The 16,335-nt window shown below is 54.6% G+C and overlaps 1 protein-coding gene across 36 annotated transcripts in view, besides 5 other annotated features; it reads left to right on the forward strand.

The window, feature by feature from the left end:
* Positions 1-16,210, forward strand: part of ENTPD6 (ectonucleoside triphosphate diphosphohydrolase 6) — a 32,364-nt gene extending 16,154 nt beyond the window's left edge. For 12 of the 36 annotated variants that reach the window (XM_047440594.1, NM_001247.5, NM_001322383.2 and 9 more), the window contains 11 exons: positions 1,398-1,541; positions 3,002-3,077; positions 3,811-3,846; positions 4,783-4,871; positions 5,637-5,716; positions 6,685-6,749; positions 9,367-9,468; positions 10,973-11,113; positions 12,236-12,292; positions 13,340-13,452; positions 13,634-16,210. In XM_047440594.1, coding sequence (XP_047296550.1) covers positions 1,398-1,541; positions 3,002-3,077; positions 3,811-3,846; positions 4,783-4,871; positions 5,637-5,716; positions 6,685-6,749; positions 9,367-9,468; positions 10,973-11,113; positions 12,236-12,292; positions 13,340-13,452; positions 13,634-13,732 — 1,002 coding nt within the window. In that variant the 3' untranslated portion in view covers positions 13,733-16,210. The other 24 variants (XM_047440595.1, NM_001322397.2, NM_001322396.2 and 21 more) reach the window with 6 other exon arrangements.
* Positions 1,924-2,425: an enhancer, noted in NCBI's record as "H3K4me1 hESC enhancer chr20:25194425-25194926 (GRCh37/hg19 assembly coordinates)". NCBI's record gives its function as "activates a minimal SCP1, AML or CMV promoter by ChIP-STARR-seq in primed H9 embryonic stem cells {active_cell/tissue: H9 hESC(primed)}" and the evidence as "EXISTENCE:reporter gene assay evidence [ECO:0000049][PMID:30033119]".
* Positions 9,704-10,465: an enhancer, noted in NCBI's record as "H3K27ac-H3K4me1 hESC enhancer chr20:25202205-25202966 (GRCh37/hg19 assembly coordinates)". NCBI's record gives its function as "activates a minimal SCP1, AML or CMV promoter by ChIP-STARR-seq in primed H9 embryonic stem cells {active_cell/tissue: H9 hESC(primed)}" and the evidence as "EXISTENCE:reporter gene assay evidence [ECO:0000049][PMID:30033119]".
* Positions 10,466-11,225: an enhancer, noted in NCBI's record as "H3K27ac-H3K4me1 hESC enhancer chr20:25202967-25203726 (GRCh37/hg19 assembly coordinates)". NCBI's record gives its function as "activates a minimal SCP1, AML or CMV promoter by ChIP-STARR-seq in primed H9 embryonic stem cells {active_cell/tissue: H9 hESC(primed)}" and the evidence as "EXISTENCE:reporter gene assay evidence [ECO:0000049][PMID:30033119]".
* Positions 11,226-11,987: an enhancer, noted in NCBI's record as "H3K27ac-H3K4me1 hESC enhancer chr20:25203727-25204488 (GRCh37/hg19 assembly coordinates)". NCBI's record gives its function as "activates a minimal SCP1, AML or CMV promoter by ChIP-STARR-seq in naive H9 embryonic stem cells {active_cell/tissue: H9 hESC(naive)}" and the evidence as "EXISTENCE:reporter gene assay evidence [ECO:0000049][PMID:30033119]".
* Positions 12,038-12,219: a silencer, noted in NCBI's record as "fragment chr20:25204539-25204720 (GRCh37/hg19 assembly coordinates)". NCBI's record gives its function as "represses an EF-1alpha promoter that drives an FKBP-Casp9 reporter gene in an ReSE screen in HepG2 liver carcinoma cells {active_cell/tissue: HepG2}" and the evidence as "EXISTENCE:reporter gene assay evidence [ECO:0000049][PMID:32094911]".
* Positions 16,211-16,335: the final 125 nt, after the last annotated feature.

Raw genomic sequence — 16,335 nt, forward strand, 5'->3', positions numbered from 1 at the left:
TGGCACAATCACAGCTCACTGCAACCTCTGCCTCCCAGGCTCAAATGATCCTGCCACCTCAGCCTCCCAAGTAACCGGGACCATAGATGCACACCGCAATGCCCAGCTAATGTTTAAATGTTTTGTAGAGATGGACATCTTGCTGTGTTGCCCAGGGTGGTCTTGACCTCCTGGGCTCAAGTAATCCTGCCACCTCGGCCTCCCAAGATGAATTACTGGAGTGGAATTTCTGGATAGGAGGAACGTGTTTTTCCCTTGGACAGATGCAACCCACGTGTCCCCACAGAATCACACCTGTCTACAACAACCAGCCACATTCCCAGACCTTCACTTTCATGCACACACTGACATAGGACCTTATCCAGCCTTGGGTTCTGGATCCAGCACTCTGGCAGGTGAAGTGGCTCCTCGTTGTAGTTATCATGGGGTTTAGTGCCAGGAGGGACCCCAGAATTGCCTAGTGCCACACCTTTGCAATGTCCAGCGGAGCTGAGGCGCACCTGAGATCGCCCGTGAGGATTGGCACAGGTCTGGATGTGGGCTTGGGTCACCAGGCTGCAGTAGAACAGCAGGCTTATTCTCCTGACCTGTCCTCCCCCTGCCATGTTTCACCTGGTCCCTGTGTTCCCACACACCTGCCAGTACCACTTGCATCACTGTTTCCTGCAGATTTTGAAAATCAGAAAAAAAATATTTATAGAAGCAAAGGCCAGGGATGGTGGCTGACACCTCTAATCATAGCACTTTGGGAGGCTGAGGCAGGAAATGGCTTGAGGCCAGGAGTTCAAGACCAACATGGGTAACACAGAGACACAGCGTCTCTATAAGAAGTTTTTTTTTGTTTTGATTTGTTTTTTTGGGATGGAGTCTCACTCTGTCACCCAGGCTGGAGTGCAGTGGTGCCATCTCGGCTCACTGCAAGCTCCACCTCCTGGGTTCATGCCATTCTCCTGCCTCAGCCTCCCGAGTAGCTGGGACTATAGGCTCCCACCACCACGCCCGGCTAATTTTTTGTATTTTTAGTAGAAACGTGGTTTCACCCTGTTAGCCAAGATGGTCTTGATCTCCTGACCTTGTGATCCGCCTGCCTTGGCCTCCCAAAGTGCTGAGATTACAGGCGTAAGCCACCGTGCCCGGCCAGAAGTTTTTAAAAATTAGTCGGGCATGGTGGCTCACGCCCTTGTCCCAGCTACTTGGGAGGCTGAGGAAGGAGGATCACTTGAGCCCAGGAATTCAAGGCTGCAAATGAGCTGTGATCAAGCCACTTCACTCTAGCCTGGGCAACACAGTGAGACTCTGTCTCCAGAAACCAAAAAAACCCAAAAGGGTGGAAGCAGCACGTGTGACCCTGTATGCTGCACTTGACAGACCCTGCTTTGCTCTTACCACGTTCACAGAGCGCTCAGGGAATCCGGGAACTACTGGATGTTGCTAAACAGGACATTCCGTTCGACTTCTGGAAGGCCACCCCTCTGGTCCTCAAGGCCACAGCTGGCTTACGCCTGTTACCTGGAGAAAAGGCCCAGAAGTTACTGCAGAAGGTGAGCCTGGCCATTCCCCAGTGCCATTAGCCAGCCCTCAGGGGCAACTGATGACTGAAAACAACTGCTGTCTCACCAGTGCCGCACCATCAGGCAGGACACAGATGCTTCTGAAGAAAAGTTTGCAGCATCACTTTTAGGTGGAGGGATGGTGGGCAGATGATGCTTTGTTCCTTGTGACATTTAAGGTTATTCATGTTTTCTGGAGTGAATCTGTGTTTTATAATAAGGAAAGCAACTTGATTTTAGAAGTGTACTGTGGGCCGGGCATGGTGGCTCATGCCTGTACTCCCAGTAATCTGGGAGGCCAAGGCGGGCGAATCATTTGAGCCCAGGAGTTCAAGGCCAGCCTGGCCAACATAGCAAGACCCCATCTCTACCAAAAACACAAAAATTAGCTGGGCATTGTGGCGCATGCCTGTCATCCCAGTTACTTAGGAAGCTGAGGCGGGAGGATCGATTGAGCCCAGGAGGTCAAAGCTGCACTGAACTGTGATTATGCCACTGAACTCTAGCCTGGGCAGCAGAACAAGACCTTGTCTCAAAAAAATAAATAAAAGCGCATGGTGCCTTCAAGGGACTTGATCCTGGTCAGAAGTTTGTGTGTGCTGAGCCCCGGTGCTGCAGCTGAAGCCCGTTTGTTCCCCATGGCAGCTGCTCATCCTGCTCCTGGTCCGATGCTCAGACGTGACTGTCGAAGGGACCCTGTGGCCTCTCCCAGTCCCAGCACGTCAGGGCCAATGTGTCTCCAGCTGCCCAGCATTCCGCAGTGGGTCCTCCTCACCCTCCGTGCTGCCTCCACTCATTTACCTGCAGGAGGAGGGCACAGGGCACGCCTGTCAGGGTCCCTCACAGGGTTGGATTGTGCACGCGTGCAGGTGGGGTGTGCAGAGGTGCTGAAGCTTCTGTGGGTAGATCTTGCTGAAAGGTGGGCAAGGAAATACCCCCCGAGGCCAGGGCCCTGGTGAAGGTGGCCGTCTGCCTTAGAGGGCTTCCGGCTCCTTTATCTCACATCCCAAAGCAGGGCAGTGTTTGGAGCCCAGCAGGCCCAGTGTGCCCCAGCTTCCCCCAGTCTATGCAGCCCCCAGAGCCCTTCTAAGCCCCAGCGGGCTTAGGACAGGGTCTCCAGGGCAGCATGGGCCTCAACGAGCCCGGGCGGTGGATTAACTTGCAATGGATTAGAGAGGCCTGAACACACTCACAGAACATGGCAGGTGCCCCTGGGGTTTCGTTACTGCCTGCCAATAGCATGATGCAAAACCCTTAACCATAAATTCTAAAGGATGAAGAAAGCCGGTCTGAGTGCAGTGGTATTTACAACTAATTGATCACAACCAGTTACAGATTTTTTCGTTCTTCTCCACCCACACTGCTTCACTTGACTAGCTAGCTAGCTAAATAAATAAATATATTCATTCATTCATTCTAAAGGATGAAGTAACATCTCTCTTTACATTTAGGTGAAAAAAGTATTTAAAGCATCGCCTTTCCTTGTAGGGGATGACTGTGTTTCCATCATGAACGGAACAGATGAAGGTAAATGGCTGGAAGCACCTCTGTACAGTGGGGCTGTGCAGTGAGGTGGGTGGGAGCAATCCTGCTGCTTCTAACCATCCGCCACCCCTCCCCGCCCCATGTGGGAGCCTCCTCCCCCGTCCGATGCTCAAGTAAAGAATCATGGCTGTTACAGCCCCGTTCTGATTCACAATTGACATGTCACAAAAGGATCTTTTTGGGGTCAGTGTCAGAGACAGATTATCATCTTGACCAACCCCAAACCTGGCATGAATGAAGCTTCTAAAAACATTGTGTTTTTAGTTTTAAGAACATTTGGAGAGAATCTCCAGTTGCCACCACATTTAGAATGTTGTTGCGTTGTTAATTCTAAGAGACATTTAAGGTTCCTCACTAGCTCCTGATAGGTCTTCAGTATGACCTTGAGAGTGAGTGTGTATGGAGGAGGAAGGGGAGCACTGGGTTCTTTTTCTGCTTCTTCCAAAAAGAGGAGGCCAGTAATAACCAGAGGAGAGACGCAGCATTTGGTGAAGTACTTTAGGATTCAGCATGCTGTGTCTCAGGACAGTCGGCCATAGCTGCTGGATTCATTTATGAGAAATGCTCCTCTCTGCCGATGATCTGAAGGCTGGGTGTAGTGCGGAAGTGATCCCTTTATGCTCCCCAGATCTGCAAATAGTCATTTAACGGTCCTGTGTGTTATGCTTTCAGCATCTCAAGTGATTAAAATAATGCCTGTGACACTCTCTTGCAGGCGTTTCGGCGTGGATCACCATCAACTTCCTGACAGGTGTGTGCACACTGCATCACAGAGGCTAGCCGATCACAGACACCTGCGGAGGGCTCGACTGGGCCTTTCGAGAGCAGGAGCCTCATTTCTGCTCTTTAAGATAACCCCTCAGGGTTTGGCAGTGTTGCTGACTGACCATAGGGTGTTGGGGATGGGTGGGGTCACCCACCTGTCTCACAGGTGTAGATGCTAGGAGTGGGGTGCTTCTCTGCAGGTCTGGGGCATTTTTCTCCCAGCACAGCCCCTGCCCTGTCCCCTGCAGAACATCCACCAGGACCCCCATCCTCTCATTTCTAAGAGAAGTAACGAATCAAACCAGTCATATCTTCCAATATTGAATGTGATGTGAATGCTATTCACCTTCTAATTGGATTCCTCTGCTGTAGGTGGAACAGGGAACAGAAACATCTGTTTTTAGAAACAAGTGACAAGGAGTCATTTTTCTTAGTGCATGTGGATTTTTTGTCCCTTTGCTGGAATTATGGGAAAGAGCAGTGTTTCTGATGTACAGACAAAAAAGGAAAGAAGTTTCCTGTCAGGTTTGCCCATTTGCCACTTTGGGGGATAGAAATGTTAGGAGATGGGTTGGGAGCCTCCGCCTGAGATGCTCTGGGGAGTGGAGATGGGCTGATCAGAGCAGGGCCCAGCTCTTCCTGGGAGCTAAGCCAGCGGCCTCCCTCCCAGCTGATACGGCAGTTTCAGTATCTCCCCTGAAGGTTCATGCTGTCCCATCAGGATCCAAATTAAACCACAGCTGGTGGAGCCATTACTCTTGTCCCTTAGATATATAGTGTACCCTTAAATGGAGATTTGTCAATAGCTGAGCTACTTCTCTGTCTTTTCTTTCCCCTGAGGGCCTGGCTTTCACCCTGGCTTTTCTGCTGTTCTCGCGATCTTACTAATGCCCCTGTGCTGTTTTTGCTTGCTGTGCTCCAGGCAGCTTGAAAACTCCAGGAGGGAGCAGCGTGGGCATGCTGGACTTGGGCGGAGGATCCACTCAGATCGCCTTCCTGCCACGCGTGGAGGTAACAAGCCCTGCCGACCACAGCGCTCTTTCCACCCCGAGGCCACACCGCCATGGGGGTGCAGGGTGGGGCCTGCTGAGGTGCTGCGGGGTGGGGTGGGGGGTGGGGTTGGCCAGGTCTCTGGACCCCTGCGGTCATTTCCTCTTCTGAGAGCTGGACTCACTCACAGATGATGCTTCTGGCTTGGAGTTTTAATTCCACCAGGAAAAAAGCCAAAAACAGAAATTTGGTCTTTAGAGGGGTGATAAATTAGGGAATAACTGGAAACGTTTGGGCCAGAGGATATGAAGTGCTGCCTCTCTCCCCTTCAGGGTTCCGAAAGGAACAAGAGCAGAAAGATTTTGTCCAGTTCATAGGTTGGGAGGAAGCTTCCAGCCTTTTCAAGATAAATATCCTAAAGGAGATGAAAACACTTCCCATTGAGGCACCTGCTGCTTTAAAAACAGTTCCCTCCTCACCCACTCATCCTCCTGTTATGGGTAGTTTTCCATGGAAGGGTGGGCTCATAGGTACTGATATGATCGTCGTCATGTCTGGGCCGTGTTTGTCAGCATGGGAGAGGTTGCCTGTGGGAACGAAGCACCGTTCTTCACTGGGATATTGGCTCCTTATTGCCTGCTCCTGTCTCGCAGCCAGCGACCTAGTGAACAGCTCATTTAATTGGCTGCACCTGACCATCCCCTTTCTTTCAAATGAATTCAGTGGGTGGAGGAGAATTTTCTAGAAAGACCAGCAGGAAACATAGTTACCCTCGTTCTTCTCCAGGGCACCCTGCAGGCCTCCCCACCCGGCTACCTGACGGCACTGCGGATGTTTAACAGGACCTACAAGCTCTATTCCTACAGGTCTGCTTTCGGGAACAGGCGTGGGGAGGCGCCATGGGGTGGGTATGCAGCTCCCAGGGCCTCGCATGGCCCTCTTGAGGTCATGGATGGCAGATCTGGGAATCCCTGTGCTGGGAATCCACCCAGACCTCTCTCTCCTCCTCCTCCTTCTCCCGCCTCCTCTGCCCTCCTCCTTCATCCTTTAATGTGTCTACAGTATACGCACATTCACCCAGACCTCTCTCTCCTCCTCCTCCTCCCACCTCCTCTGGTCCTTCTCCTTCATCCTTTATCTATAGTATACGCACATTAACCCAGACCTCTCTCTCCTCCTCCTCCTCCCGCCTCCTCTGTCCTCCTCCTTCATCCTTTAATGTGTCTACAGTATACACACATTAACCCAGACCTCTCTCTCCTCCTCCTCCTCCCACCTCCTCTGTCCTCCTCCTTCATCCTTTAATGTGTCTACAGTATACGCACATTCACCCAGACCTCTCTCTCCTCCTCCTCCTCCCGCCTCCTCTGTCCTTCTCCTTCATCCTTTAATGTGTCTACAGTATACGCACATTCCTCCTTGTGCACATTCCTCCATGTGTGCTTATTCTGCTCTACTTTGGAGAAGGTTTGAGAAGTGGGAGGGACCATGGGCCACACAGGAGTGTTCCGGGCCACCTATTGCCACGTGCAGTCTTCAGTCGATTCTTGTTATAAAGCAGGAGCATCCCAGACTGGTGTCGAGTCGGTCCCACTCACCACAGTGTCTGCAGCTCCTGGATGAGCTCCTGCCATATGATAGGCCCTCGTGTGTTGAATTAATTAGCTAAGTTTCCTCAACTCTACAGAAACAGGCTTTTAGAAGGAGCAGAGAAGCTCACTAACTGCCTTGCTGCAAGCTCCCCCTTCCCCACTCGGGCTGGGTCTCAGAGGTGAGCCTGCCATGACCTGTACCTGCCATGGCAGCTGCCCTCACTGAGGTGTCATTCCCACAGCTACCTCGGGCTCGGGCTGATGTCGGCACGCCTGGCGATCCTGGGCGGCGTGGAGGGGCAGCCTGGTGAGTGGACATGTTGCCCCGGGCCCACTTTCACAGCCTCTGCCCTCCATTCTCAGTGGGAACGAGGAGCCCCTCGGGAGGGCACCAGCTTGGCCCTGCAGGAGAGGTCCCTCTGCCCCTCCCACCCCACTGCTGTCCCGCTGCATGCTGGGCACCCAGCCAGGCCAGGGCATGCGAGTGGAGGGGTGTGCTGCAGATCTTGTTGGTGGCACCCTGATGGGGCAGGAACCCAGGGTGGTGTTGTACCTGTCCACCTTCCAAGGTATTTCTTTCTTTATTTTGAGACAGTGTCTCACTTGCTCTGTCACCCAGGCTGGAGTGCACTAGCATGATCCCAGCTCACTGCAGCCTCTGCCTGCCGGGTTCCAGCAATTTTCATACCTCCGCCTCCCCAGTAGCTGGGACTACAGATGTGTACCACCACGCCCAGCTAATTTTTGTGTTTTTAGTAGAGACGGGGTTTCACCATGTTGGCCAGTATGGTCTCGAAATCCTACCTTCAAATGATTGCCTGCCTTGGCCTTCCAAAGTGCTGGGATTACAGGCATGAGCCATGACACCCAGCCCCAAGTTATTTTTTAAAAGATGCTGATGAAATCCCTTCTGAAGCACTGAGCTGAAACTGAGGGAACCAGGGAACTGCACACTCATCCCCTACATTGGGAGCTGGCTTTAGGGATGTGAAGACAGAACCTTGTACAGACAGCACAGGAGGGCTGTGGGGGGTGCTGGGTTCTTGCCGTCAGGGAAAGGTTTTCTCTCTCGCTCATGATTCCAGCCTTGCAAGAACATCCCTCCTCCCTTGCTCTGCGAAGGGTCATGAAATGTGGGCTTGGCCCTTCCTGAGACATGGAGTTGACCTGGGGACACAGCCTGCATCAGGGCCAGGGCCTCTGCTCCTTATAATGGGCATCACAGCGGGCATGGACTCTTAGGAGATCTCAGGATTGCCATGGTCTGCTTCAGGGGCTGGGGCACGGCCCTGAGGCTGGTGGTGCCTCTCTTCCCTGATGGAACTGGCCAGGCCACAGAGGCCTTCCCAAGGCCTTAGTGTCTGATGTGTGTATGAGGCGCTCACCAGCACCTACGTGTGCTCCAGCCAAATGCCCTTACCTCAGCCCCCAGCGCCCCATTGGCCCAGCACCCCTGCCCACTTCTTCCGAGGGCCTGGTATCTGACAGGGTAGGATGTTCAACTGGAATTTTCATTCTCCTGTGCATGCCCTACTTCAGTTCTTTCTTTCAAATCCTGGTGTTTATCTTCATAATGGTATTCCTTTTGTTGCAAACAAAAACCATGTCTATGTCTCAGAAACAGCTGCAGCCCTTATTCTGGGGCCAAAAAACACCTATTATTTAGCCAATGAGAAAAGGCAGGTACCTCTTTGCCCTTTGTGGTTCCCAGGGAGTCGTGGCTCAGACCCTGAGTCCTCTCACACCCAGCAGAGCAGCAAGAAGGTCTCATGGTCTCCTCGTCAGGCTGTACAAAGTGCCTGTTTTAGACATTTGGGGGCTGTGAGGACCCAGGAGAATGAGTCTCTGTTTTGTTACCGGTTATTGCGTAACAGACCCCCCAAGTAGAGTGAAAGAACAGCAAACAGCAGTCGCGGCTGGAATCTCACAGCAGACCACACAGGCTCATCTGGGCAGCACCTCCGCTGGGGTCCTGGGGATCTGTGCAGCTGCATGTGGCTGTGGCAGCTGTCTAGACCCTCCCGCTGGGGTCCTGGGGTTCTGTGCAGGTGCATGTGGCTGTGGCAGCTGTCTAGACGCCCCCTGCTGGGGTTCTGGGGGTCTGTGCAGGTGCATATGGCTGGGGCAGCTGTCTAGACTCCCTGCTGGGGTCCTGGGGGTCTGTGCACATGCCTGTGGCTGTGGCAGCTGTCTAAATCCCCCGCTGGGGTCCTGAGGGTCTGTGCACGTGCCTGTCGCTGGGCGGCTGTCTAGACCTGGGCGCTCTTCCACATGGCCTCGCCCCAGCAGAGCAGCCTGGGACACTTTTGTGGTGGCTTCAAAAAAGGAAGGCTACCCTGATGCCACCATTTCCTGCCCATTCCATCAAGGAAAGCAGGTCCAGGCCAGAGTCCAGGGATGGGACCAGCACCTTTCGGTGGGACAGCAGCCTGCCATCCTCGAAAGGTGATACTGGGGCCAGCCCTGGGACCAATACGCTTCCTTTGCTGGTTTTGAGCCCCCAGCTTGTGTGTATTGGAGCAGCAGATTCCATTCAAGGCATGGTGGCACCTGGTGGCACTTGTTCTGGCCCTGCCACCAACCTACCAGCTACTCACAGCCTCAGTCACCTATAAAACTGGGTAATGATGGCTCCCCTCCTAAAAGGACTGTCGTCACACTTCACTGAACAGCCCTTGGCCCAGTGCCTGGCACCCGGCGTGCCCAGGGCCGTGAGCTGGGCATGGTCCTGGTAGCGGTGTGCTTCCTGGCCAACGAGGCTTTGCTGCCACTTCCCAGGGAGGTGTTGCCTTCCCAGTGGACCTGGAAGCCACTCAGCTTCCCCCATCCTGTGTCAAGCCAGGGCCTCCGCGACTCCTAGCTCAGCCCTAGTCCATGGCGGTGATATACCTTCCTTTCTCTTTCCTTTTTAATCTCTGTTTCAGCTAAGGATGGAAAGGAGTTGGTCAGCCCTTGCTTGTCTCCCAGTTTCAAAGGAGAGTGGGAACACGCAGAAGTCACGTACAGGGTTTCAGGGCAGAAAGCAGGTACGGGGAGGGTTGCTGCCTGTTGGTTTCTGCGGGTGAGAGTGGTGGCCTCCTCTCCCCCTTGCCTTTCCCACATCCCATGGGACGTTCCACGGGAGGCTCCTGACCTCTCTTTGAAGAGCCTGTACCTGCCCTGGAAGTGAAGGTGGTTTGGCTGCAGGGGCCTGTGTCTGTGCTGAGAGCCAGCTCCTTCCCTCTGCCTCTGTTCAACATTCCCCTGACTGTCACCAGAAGCTTCCTCCTGAGGGCTGATTTCCTAACAGGCCTGCAGGGAGGAAGGACTGGACCAGCTTGGGGCTGAGATGCAGGGCTGGGACTGGGAGCCCAGGCACTCTGTGCTGTGCTGGGCGGGAATAGAGGGAGGGTCTGCTTCCACCCATCCTGCTCGAGGCTATGGAGCCCGCTGGCCCTGGGCAGGCTCTAGTGCTCTGCACCCTTGCAGTTTCTTCTGAGAGAAATGTTCAAACGCCATTCCCAGACTGGGCACTCGGCATGAGGGGTGCATGCCTTCGCGAACCGTTCAGGTCCTTCCAAGTCAATCACCCACTGGTGCGTGTACCGGGGGGCCGCATCAGGCACAGCAGGACTGCACAGCTGTGTCCCACAGGAGGAGCCAGACAGTGAAGCTCATCGGGAAAGCCTTCCAAGAGAAATAACACGGGGCGGGGATCTGAGAGGGCGATCGCAGCTGTAACTAGGACAGCCAAGGACGGCCTCGTGGGGTAACATGGGATCTAAGACAGGAGGAGGTTTCAAGAAACTGCGCAGATCTGAAGCAGCAGCACCCCAGGCCGCACAAGCAGCACACACCGGGGCCCTCTGTCAGCTGCTGTGTTTAATGAACGAGGAGGAGGTGGTGTGGCTTGGTGGGGGACACCAGGAGGAAATGAGATCGAAGGGTTGGAGCATGGGTCTGTGGACCGTGGGAACCCTGGAAGCACTCGGAAGGATGGGGCCTGGTGGAGGAGGACTGGGAAAGCCGGGAAGCTGGGTCAAGGTGTGGGGTGTAGAGGCGCCCTCAGATGTCCACACGGTCCATTGGCCTCCGGGGTCCTCTGTTCCTGTTCTCCCTCAAGCCATGGGAGCTTGGCAAGTGAGCTGGGCCTCCACTTCCTTATCTATGACATAGGGAGGGTGCAGGCCCCCTGAGGAGGTGGGACTCCGGGCTGGCGGAGGGGGAATGTAGGGCAGATGGTCCCAACAGGCCAGAGGCCACTGGTGTCAGGCATCAGCAGCTTCCTCCTCAGAGTCCAGGTCTGCCGCTGCCTTCGTGCCCACGGTCTTCACTCCCTGCGCCGGGACCAACAATGCCCTGGCTCCTGAGGGCTGCTTTTGACCTGTGCGGGGAGCAGCCCCAACTTGGGGTGGGGTCTTACAGGCTTCTGGACCTGCCTTTTCCTGACAATTCAGGTCAGAGTCTCAAGTCCCCTGGGAGGGGCCCCAAGCAGCTGTGAGGCCTGGGTGCTCGGAGCCCACTGACCGCTAGCCTTGTGCTTGTCCCCAGCGGCAAGCCTGCACGAGCTGTGTGCTGCCAGAGTGTCAGAGGTCCTTCAAAACAGAGTGCACAGGACGGAGGAAGTGAAGCATGTGGACTTCTATGCTTTCTCCTACTATTACGACCTTGCAGCTGGTGTGGGCCTCATAGGTAAGGGGGCCCGGATGGGCTGAGCAGGAAGGTCGGGGCGGCAGGGGGCGGGGGTGGAGGGCGTGTGCTCCCCGAGGCAGAGGGCTGGTGGCAGGCAAGCAACCCTGTTGTCACATCCCTGCAGGAGGCCAGAAGCAGATTTGAGAAGGCGTCTCATCCTGAGTAGGAAAAGATCAGTTCTTTGAGCCCTTCAGTAAAACCTCGTGGCTGGTGACTTGCTGTTGATTCCAGTTCCTGCTGGAAGGCAGGTCCTGCCTTGCACTGGCCCACGTTGTCTCAGACTCAGCCACTCTGCCCTACCCTGCAGCCCTGGCTACAGGAGGCCTCCTGTGACCTGCAGGTGGCTGCCCTGTACCCATGGGAGGGATCAGCTCACTGAATGTGGAGTCTCTCTGACTCACCCTGCACAGCCCAGGAAGCCAGATTAGGGCGGAAAAAGGTATTCAGAGTTTGCTGAGGCTAGTGGTGGTCAGGCTGTGTGGGAACTCTGGAGGGGGTTGCAGAGTCACTATCATGGTGAGATCATCAGAATGTATGGCCTGTGGTACGGATAAGAACACTACTGTTTTAAATAAGCTGACACGGTGCCGGCTCTCTGGGCCCTGCAGCCTCCGGCGGGTCTCTGTGCTGACAAAGCTACCACTGACTGGGCCTGGGTGGAAGGTGGGTGGTCAAGGTGGAAGGCCACCAATAAACCACCCCTCAGTGTATTTTTCAAGAACTTTTTTTTTTTTTTTTTTACATTTAGGAAACTGATACCAGAATACTGTTGCTGAGCTCAGTTCTATGGCTTCAGGAAACATTTCAATTTCTCTACTTTTATTTTTCTTAACTTAAAATTTTACTCAATTTGGGGTCCTGGGTTCCTGGTGAGCTTTCTCGGGGGACACTGCAGGGTTGGGTTGTGGGGTGACCCTCTCAGCCCCCAAACCCACCCCACACCACATCACCCAGAAGCCGTCCTCAGAGCACGTGAGTGCCGCCTACAGCTGGAGGGCCTGCCTCAGAAGCCAGTCAGTGCCTTGGGGCTCTTGGGCTGGCGTTCCCCGTGCCAGCCTCACGTCTCAGTGGCATCGCCAACCTCACAGTGCTCCTGCAGACTGGGTGTTGTGTCTCCCACAGATGCGGAGAAGGGAGGCAGCCTGGTGGTGGGGGACTTCGAGATCGCAGCCAAGTACGGTGAGTGATGCTGCAGGGGCCATCTCAGCAGGGGCAGGCGCCCCGTGATGCTCGTGACGCAGGCGCTGGCCCTGACTCTCCTGGGTGTAGCCCCTCCTAAACAATGGCCACAGGCAGGGGCCTCGGCCCCAGCTGAGAAAGGACCACCGTCCTTGTCCCACCCTCATGGGGTCGTGAGGAACTGGGTCCCTCGATTCCACTTCCTCAGATGCCATTTTACTGCTACTAGGGTAACCCCAAGAGTGATTTCCCCTGGGATGTCCCAGTAAGTTCATGATTGTCACACAACCCTTAAGAAGCCAAGGCCCTACAGAATGGAGCCTGGGATGTGGGGTGGAGGGCTGTCCCCGGGGTCGCAGGTGACCAGCCCAGCAGACCCTGTGCCACACACTATGCCTCTCCACTGTCTCCTTCACGCCTGGCCCAGCAGCCAAGCCTTGGTGAACATGTCCTGCTCTTGGTTGCCCTTCCCAATGTGTGGGTCCAAAGAGCTCAAATTTGTACATCTTTCCAGAAAAAGTACTACCCTTCCCCTCCCCCAAAAGTGGCTTTTTTAAAGCTTTTGTGTCATTTTCCCATTTGTGCCCATGGACACTGGGTATCCACAACTACAGCAGGAAAAGGCTTTGAGCAGAATCCCAGGACAGCTCTTGGTGGATTTGTCCTTCCTCAAGAGCAGGAGTGGATTGTTCTGAGCTGGCTTTGGTGTTTTCTTTCCCCAGAAAGCTTAGGTTTTATGCAGCTTGACACCTGGGAGAGGTGTCCAGGGTCTTAGATGTAGAAATGTGGCTTGGGAGACATTGGCCCATGACCCTAACACCAGGCGTGCAAATCCCCTTGGAGCCCAGACCCAGTGGCAGCCGGGGTTGCCGCCCACCTGCCTGTGCTGTGCACTGGGTGCCTTCTGCGCTCAGCTGCGGCCTTGTCTGTGAATCCGGAGTGCGGAGCCAGCGGGTGCCTGTAGTGGGTGGAATTGGGGTCTGCACTTGCCCCTCCGCCCCCAGGTGGGAGTCACCTGGAGCGTGAAGGGACGTGTCTCATCCCCAGTGTGTCGGACCCTGGAGACACAGCCGCAGAGCAGCCCCTTCTCATGCATGGACCTCACCTACGTCAGCCTGCTACTCCAGGAGTTCGGCTTTCCCAGGAGCAAAGTGCTGAAGGTAAGGGTGCCCTCAGGTCACGCCCCAGCCCCTTTATGGAGTGAGGGGCCTAGAACCACTTCTCCAGTTGCTGGGGTCATGTCCCCCAGCCCATCCCTGGCTTCCAAGGAGCCACAGCCTCCTGATGCACAAGGCTTTCCTGTCTGTGTGATGGTCCCCTCTCCCTCTCTGTCTTTTCAAGCTCACTCGGAAAATTGACAATGTTGAGACCAGCTGGGCTCTGGGGGCCATTTTTCATTACATCGACTCCCTGAACAGACAGAAGAGTCCAGCCTCATAGTGGCCGAGCCATCCCTGTCCCCGTCAGCAGTGTCTGTGTGTCTGCATAAACCCTCCTGTCCTGGACGTGACTTCATCCTGAGGAGCCACAGCACAGGCCGTGCTGGCACTTTCTGCACACTGGCTCTGGGACTTGCAGAAGGCCTGGTGCTGCCCTGGCATCAGCCTCTTCCAGTCACATCTGGCCAGAGGGCTGTCTGGACCTGGGCCCTGCTCAATGCCACCTGTCTGCCTGGGCTCCAAGTGGGCAGGACCAGGACAGAACCACAGGCACACACTGAGGGGGCAGTGTGGCTCCCTGCCTGTCCCATCCCCATGCCCCGTCCGCGGGGCTGTGGCTGCTGCTGTGCATGTCCCTGCGATGGGAGTCTTGTCTCCCAGCCTGTCAGTTTCCTCCCCAGGGCAGAGCTCCCCTTCCTGCAAGAGTCTGGGAGGCGGTGCAGGCTGTCCTGGCTGCTCTGGGGAAGCCGAGGGACAGCCATAACACCCCCGGGACAGTAGGTCTGGGCGGCACCACTGGGAACTCTGGACTTGAGTGTGTTTGCCTCTTCCTTGGGTATGAATGTGTGAGTTCACCCAGAGGCCTGCTCTCCTCACACATTGTGTGGTTTGGGGTTAATGATGGAGGGAGACACCTCCTCATAGACGGCAGGTGCCCACCTTTCAGGGAGTCTCCCAGCATGGGCGGATGCCGGGCATGAGCTGCTGTAAACTATTTGTGGCTGTGCTGCTTGAGTGACGTCTCTGTCGTGTGGGTGCCAAGTGCTTGTGTAGAAACTGTGTTCTGAGCCCCCTTTTCTGGACACCAACTGTGTCCTGTGAATGTATCGCTACTGTGAGCTGTTCCCGCCTAGCCAGGGCCATGTCTTAGGTGCAGCTGTGCCACGGGTCAGCTGAGCCACAGTCCCAGAACCAAGCTCTCGGTGTCTCGGGCCACCATCCGCCCACCTCGGGCTGACCCCACCTCCTCCATGGACAGTGTGAGCCCCGGGCCGTGCATCCTGCTCAGTGTGGCGTCAGTGTCGGGGCTGAGCCCCTTGAGCTGCTTCAGTGAATGTACAGTGCCCGGCACGAGCTGAACCTCATGTGTTCCACTCCCAATAAAAGGTTGACAGGGGCTTCTCCTTCTCTGGGATTCCTCTCGTTGAGCGACAGTAGCATTTGCCCACCTGGCACCTGAGATCCCTGTTTACTAAACCTTAGAAAAGCTGCCAAAGGGGGTGGCGTATTTCCAGTCCTGTCGACATCCCTCTCGAGGACACAGCAGTGGAGGGCCCCTGGGGGCTGGGGCTGGTGAAGGGTCTGGCTGGTGGCCCCGGCCCTCCCAGCGTCTGTTGAGCACAGCTCCTCCTGTGCCAGGCCAGCAGCCCACAGCACGGCCAGGTGAGGCCTGGGCACATAACCTCGAGTGAGCTGCAAGTCCCCATGTCATTCTGTTCAGCAAGGATCTGGTTTTGGTCTGGAAGCGTCCCAAAGGTGTCGCATGCCAGGGAAACTGCAGACCAGCCCACATCCCGAGTGCTTGTGCCTGAAGCCCCCCCCAACCAACTGTCACAGGAGGACAGGATCTGGCCCTAGGGCCTCCCAGGGCTGCAGCGAATGCTGATGGAGCCACGTGGTGGAGGCCTGCACAGAGCAGGAAAGGACAAAAGACAAAAAGAGGAACAGTTTCCTCCCTCCCGCCTGGGCTGGGTCCCCACCAGCGCCTTTACTTCCATAATATCCACCAGCTTAAATATTTAAAGAACTCCGGAGGCTGAGAATCAGACGCATGAAGGTAAAGCCAAAATCAATTTGGTCCATTTAAAGAAGGTCGGTGACCTCATGCCTGAAAAAGGCAAACAACTGGAAGTTTTCCAAAAGTGCACCAAATAAGTCATGGAATATTTCTGGGCCCGGCAAAGTATGCAAGTCATTTCTCTCTGAGTGTCTTTTGTGATAATGAAGTAGGCTCTCATTTGTCAAAAATAGCTACACGTGCACATCGTAAAAGAAGCAAACTAGGGTTGCTTGAAAATTCTGTTCCCTCAGGATGTGTGCATTGACAAGCTCAGACAGGTCTCACACGCCCCACATGCCACCCCAGCCCGCGTACCCCACATCACTTAGCACCCATTGCTGCCCACTGAGCTGCCTCAGTCCTGCAGTCCCCGTGTTTGGATGGCAGGATCCCAGGGCAGTGAGTTTCAGGGCATAAGCAGACGTTGCCACGTTGCCTTCAATCCTACTGGACAAGCATCGGTGCTGGCCTCCCCCATGTCCTAACAGCTACAGCCAGTTTAATCTTTGCCATTCTGGCAGATTTAAAAAAATGATAACTGGTAGTTTTAATATGCATGGATCTAATTCATCGGGTATATCTAAGTTGTATTTCCGTGAAACATCTGTTCATATCCCTTGCCGATTTTCTATAAGATTGTCATCATTTTTTTGTTAATTGTAGATCTTTATTTATTAAGGAAATTATCCCATTATGATAGAACGTGTCCAAAAATTTATCTTTTTGTGACTTCTAGGTTTCATGTCATAATTAGGAAGGCTTCTCCACAGAGATAGTTTTAAAAGTTAACCAAAAGGTATTTTTATATTTTAGTTTCTTAACTT

This window comes from Homo sapiens, chromosome 20 (assembly GCF_000001405.40).
Source record: "Homo sapiens chromosome 20, GRCh38.p14 Primary Assembly".
Lineage (NCBI taxonomy): Eukaryota > Metazoa > Chordata > Mammalia > Primates > Hominidae > Homo > Homo sapiens.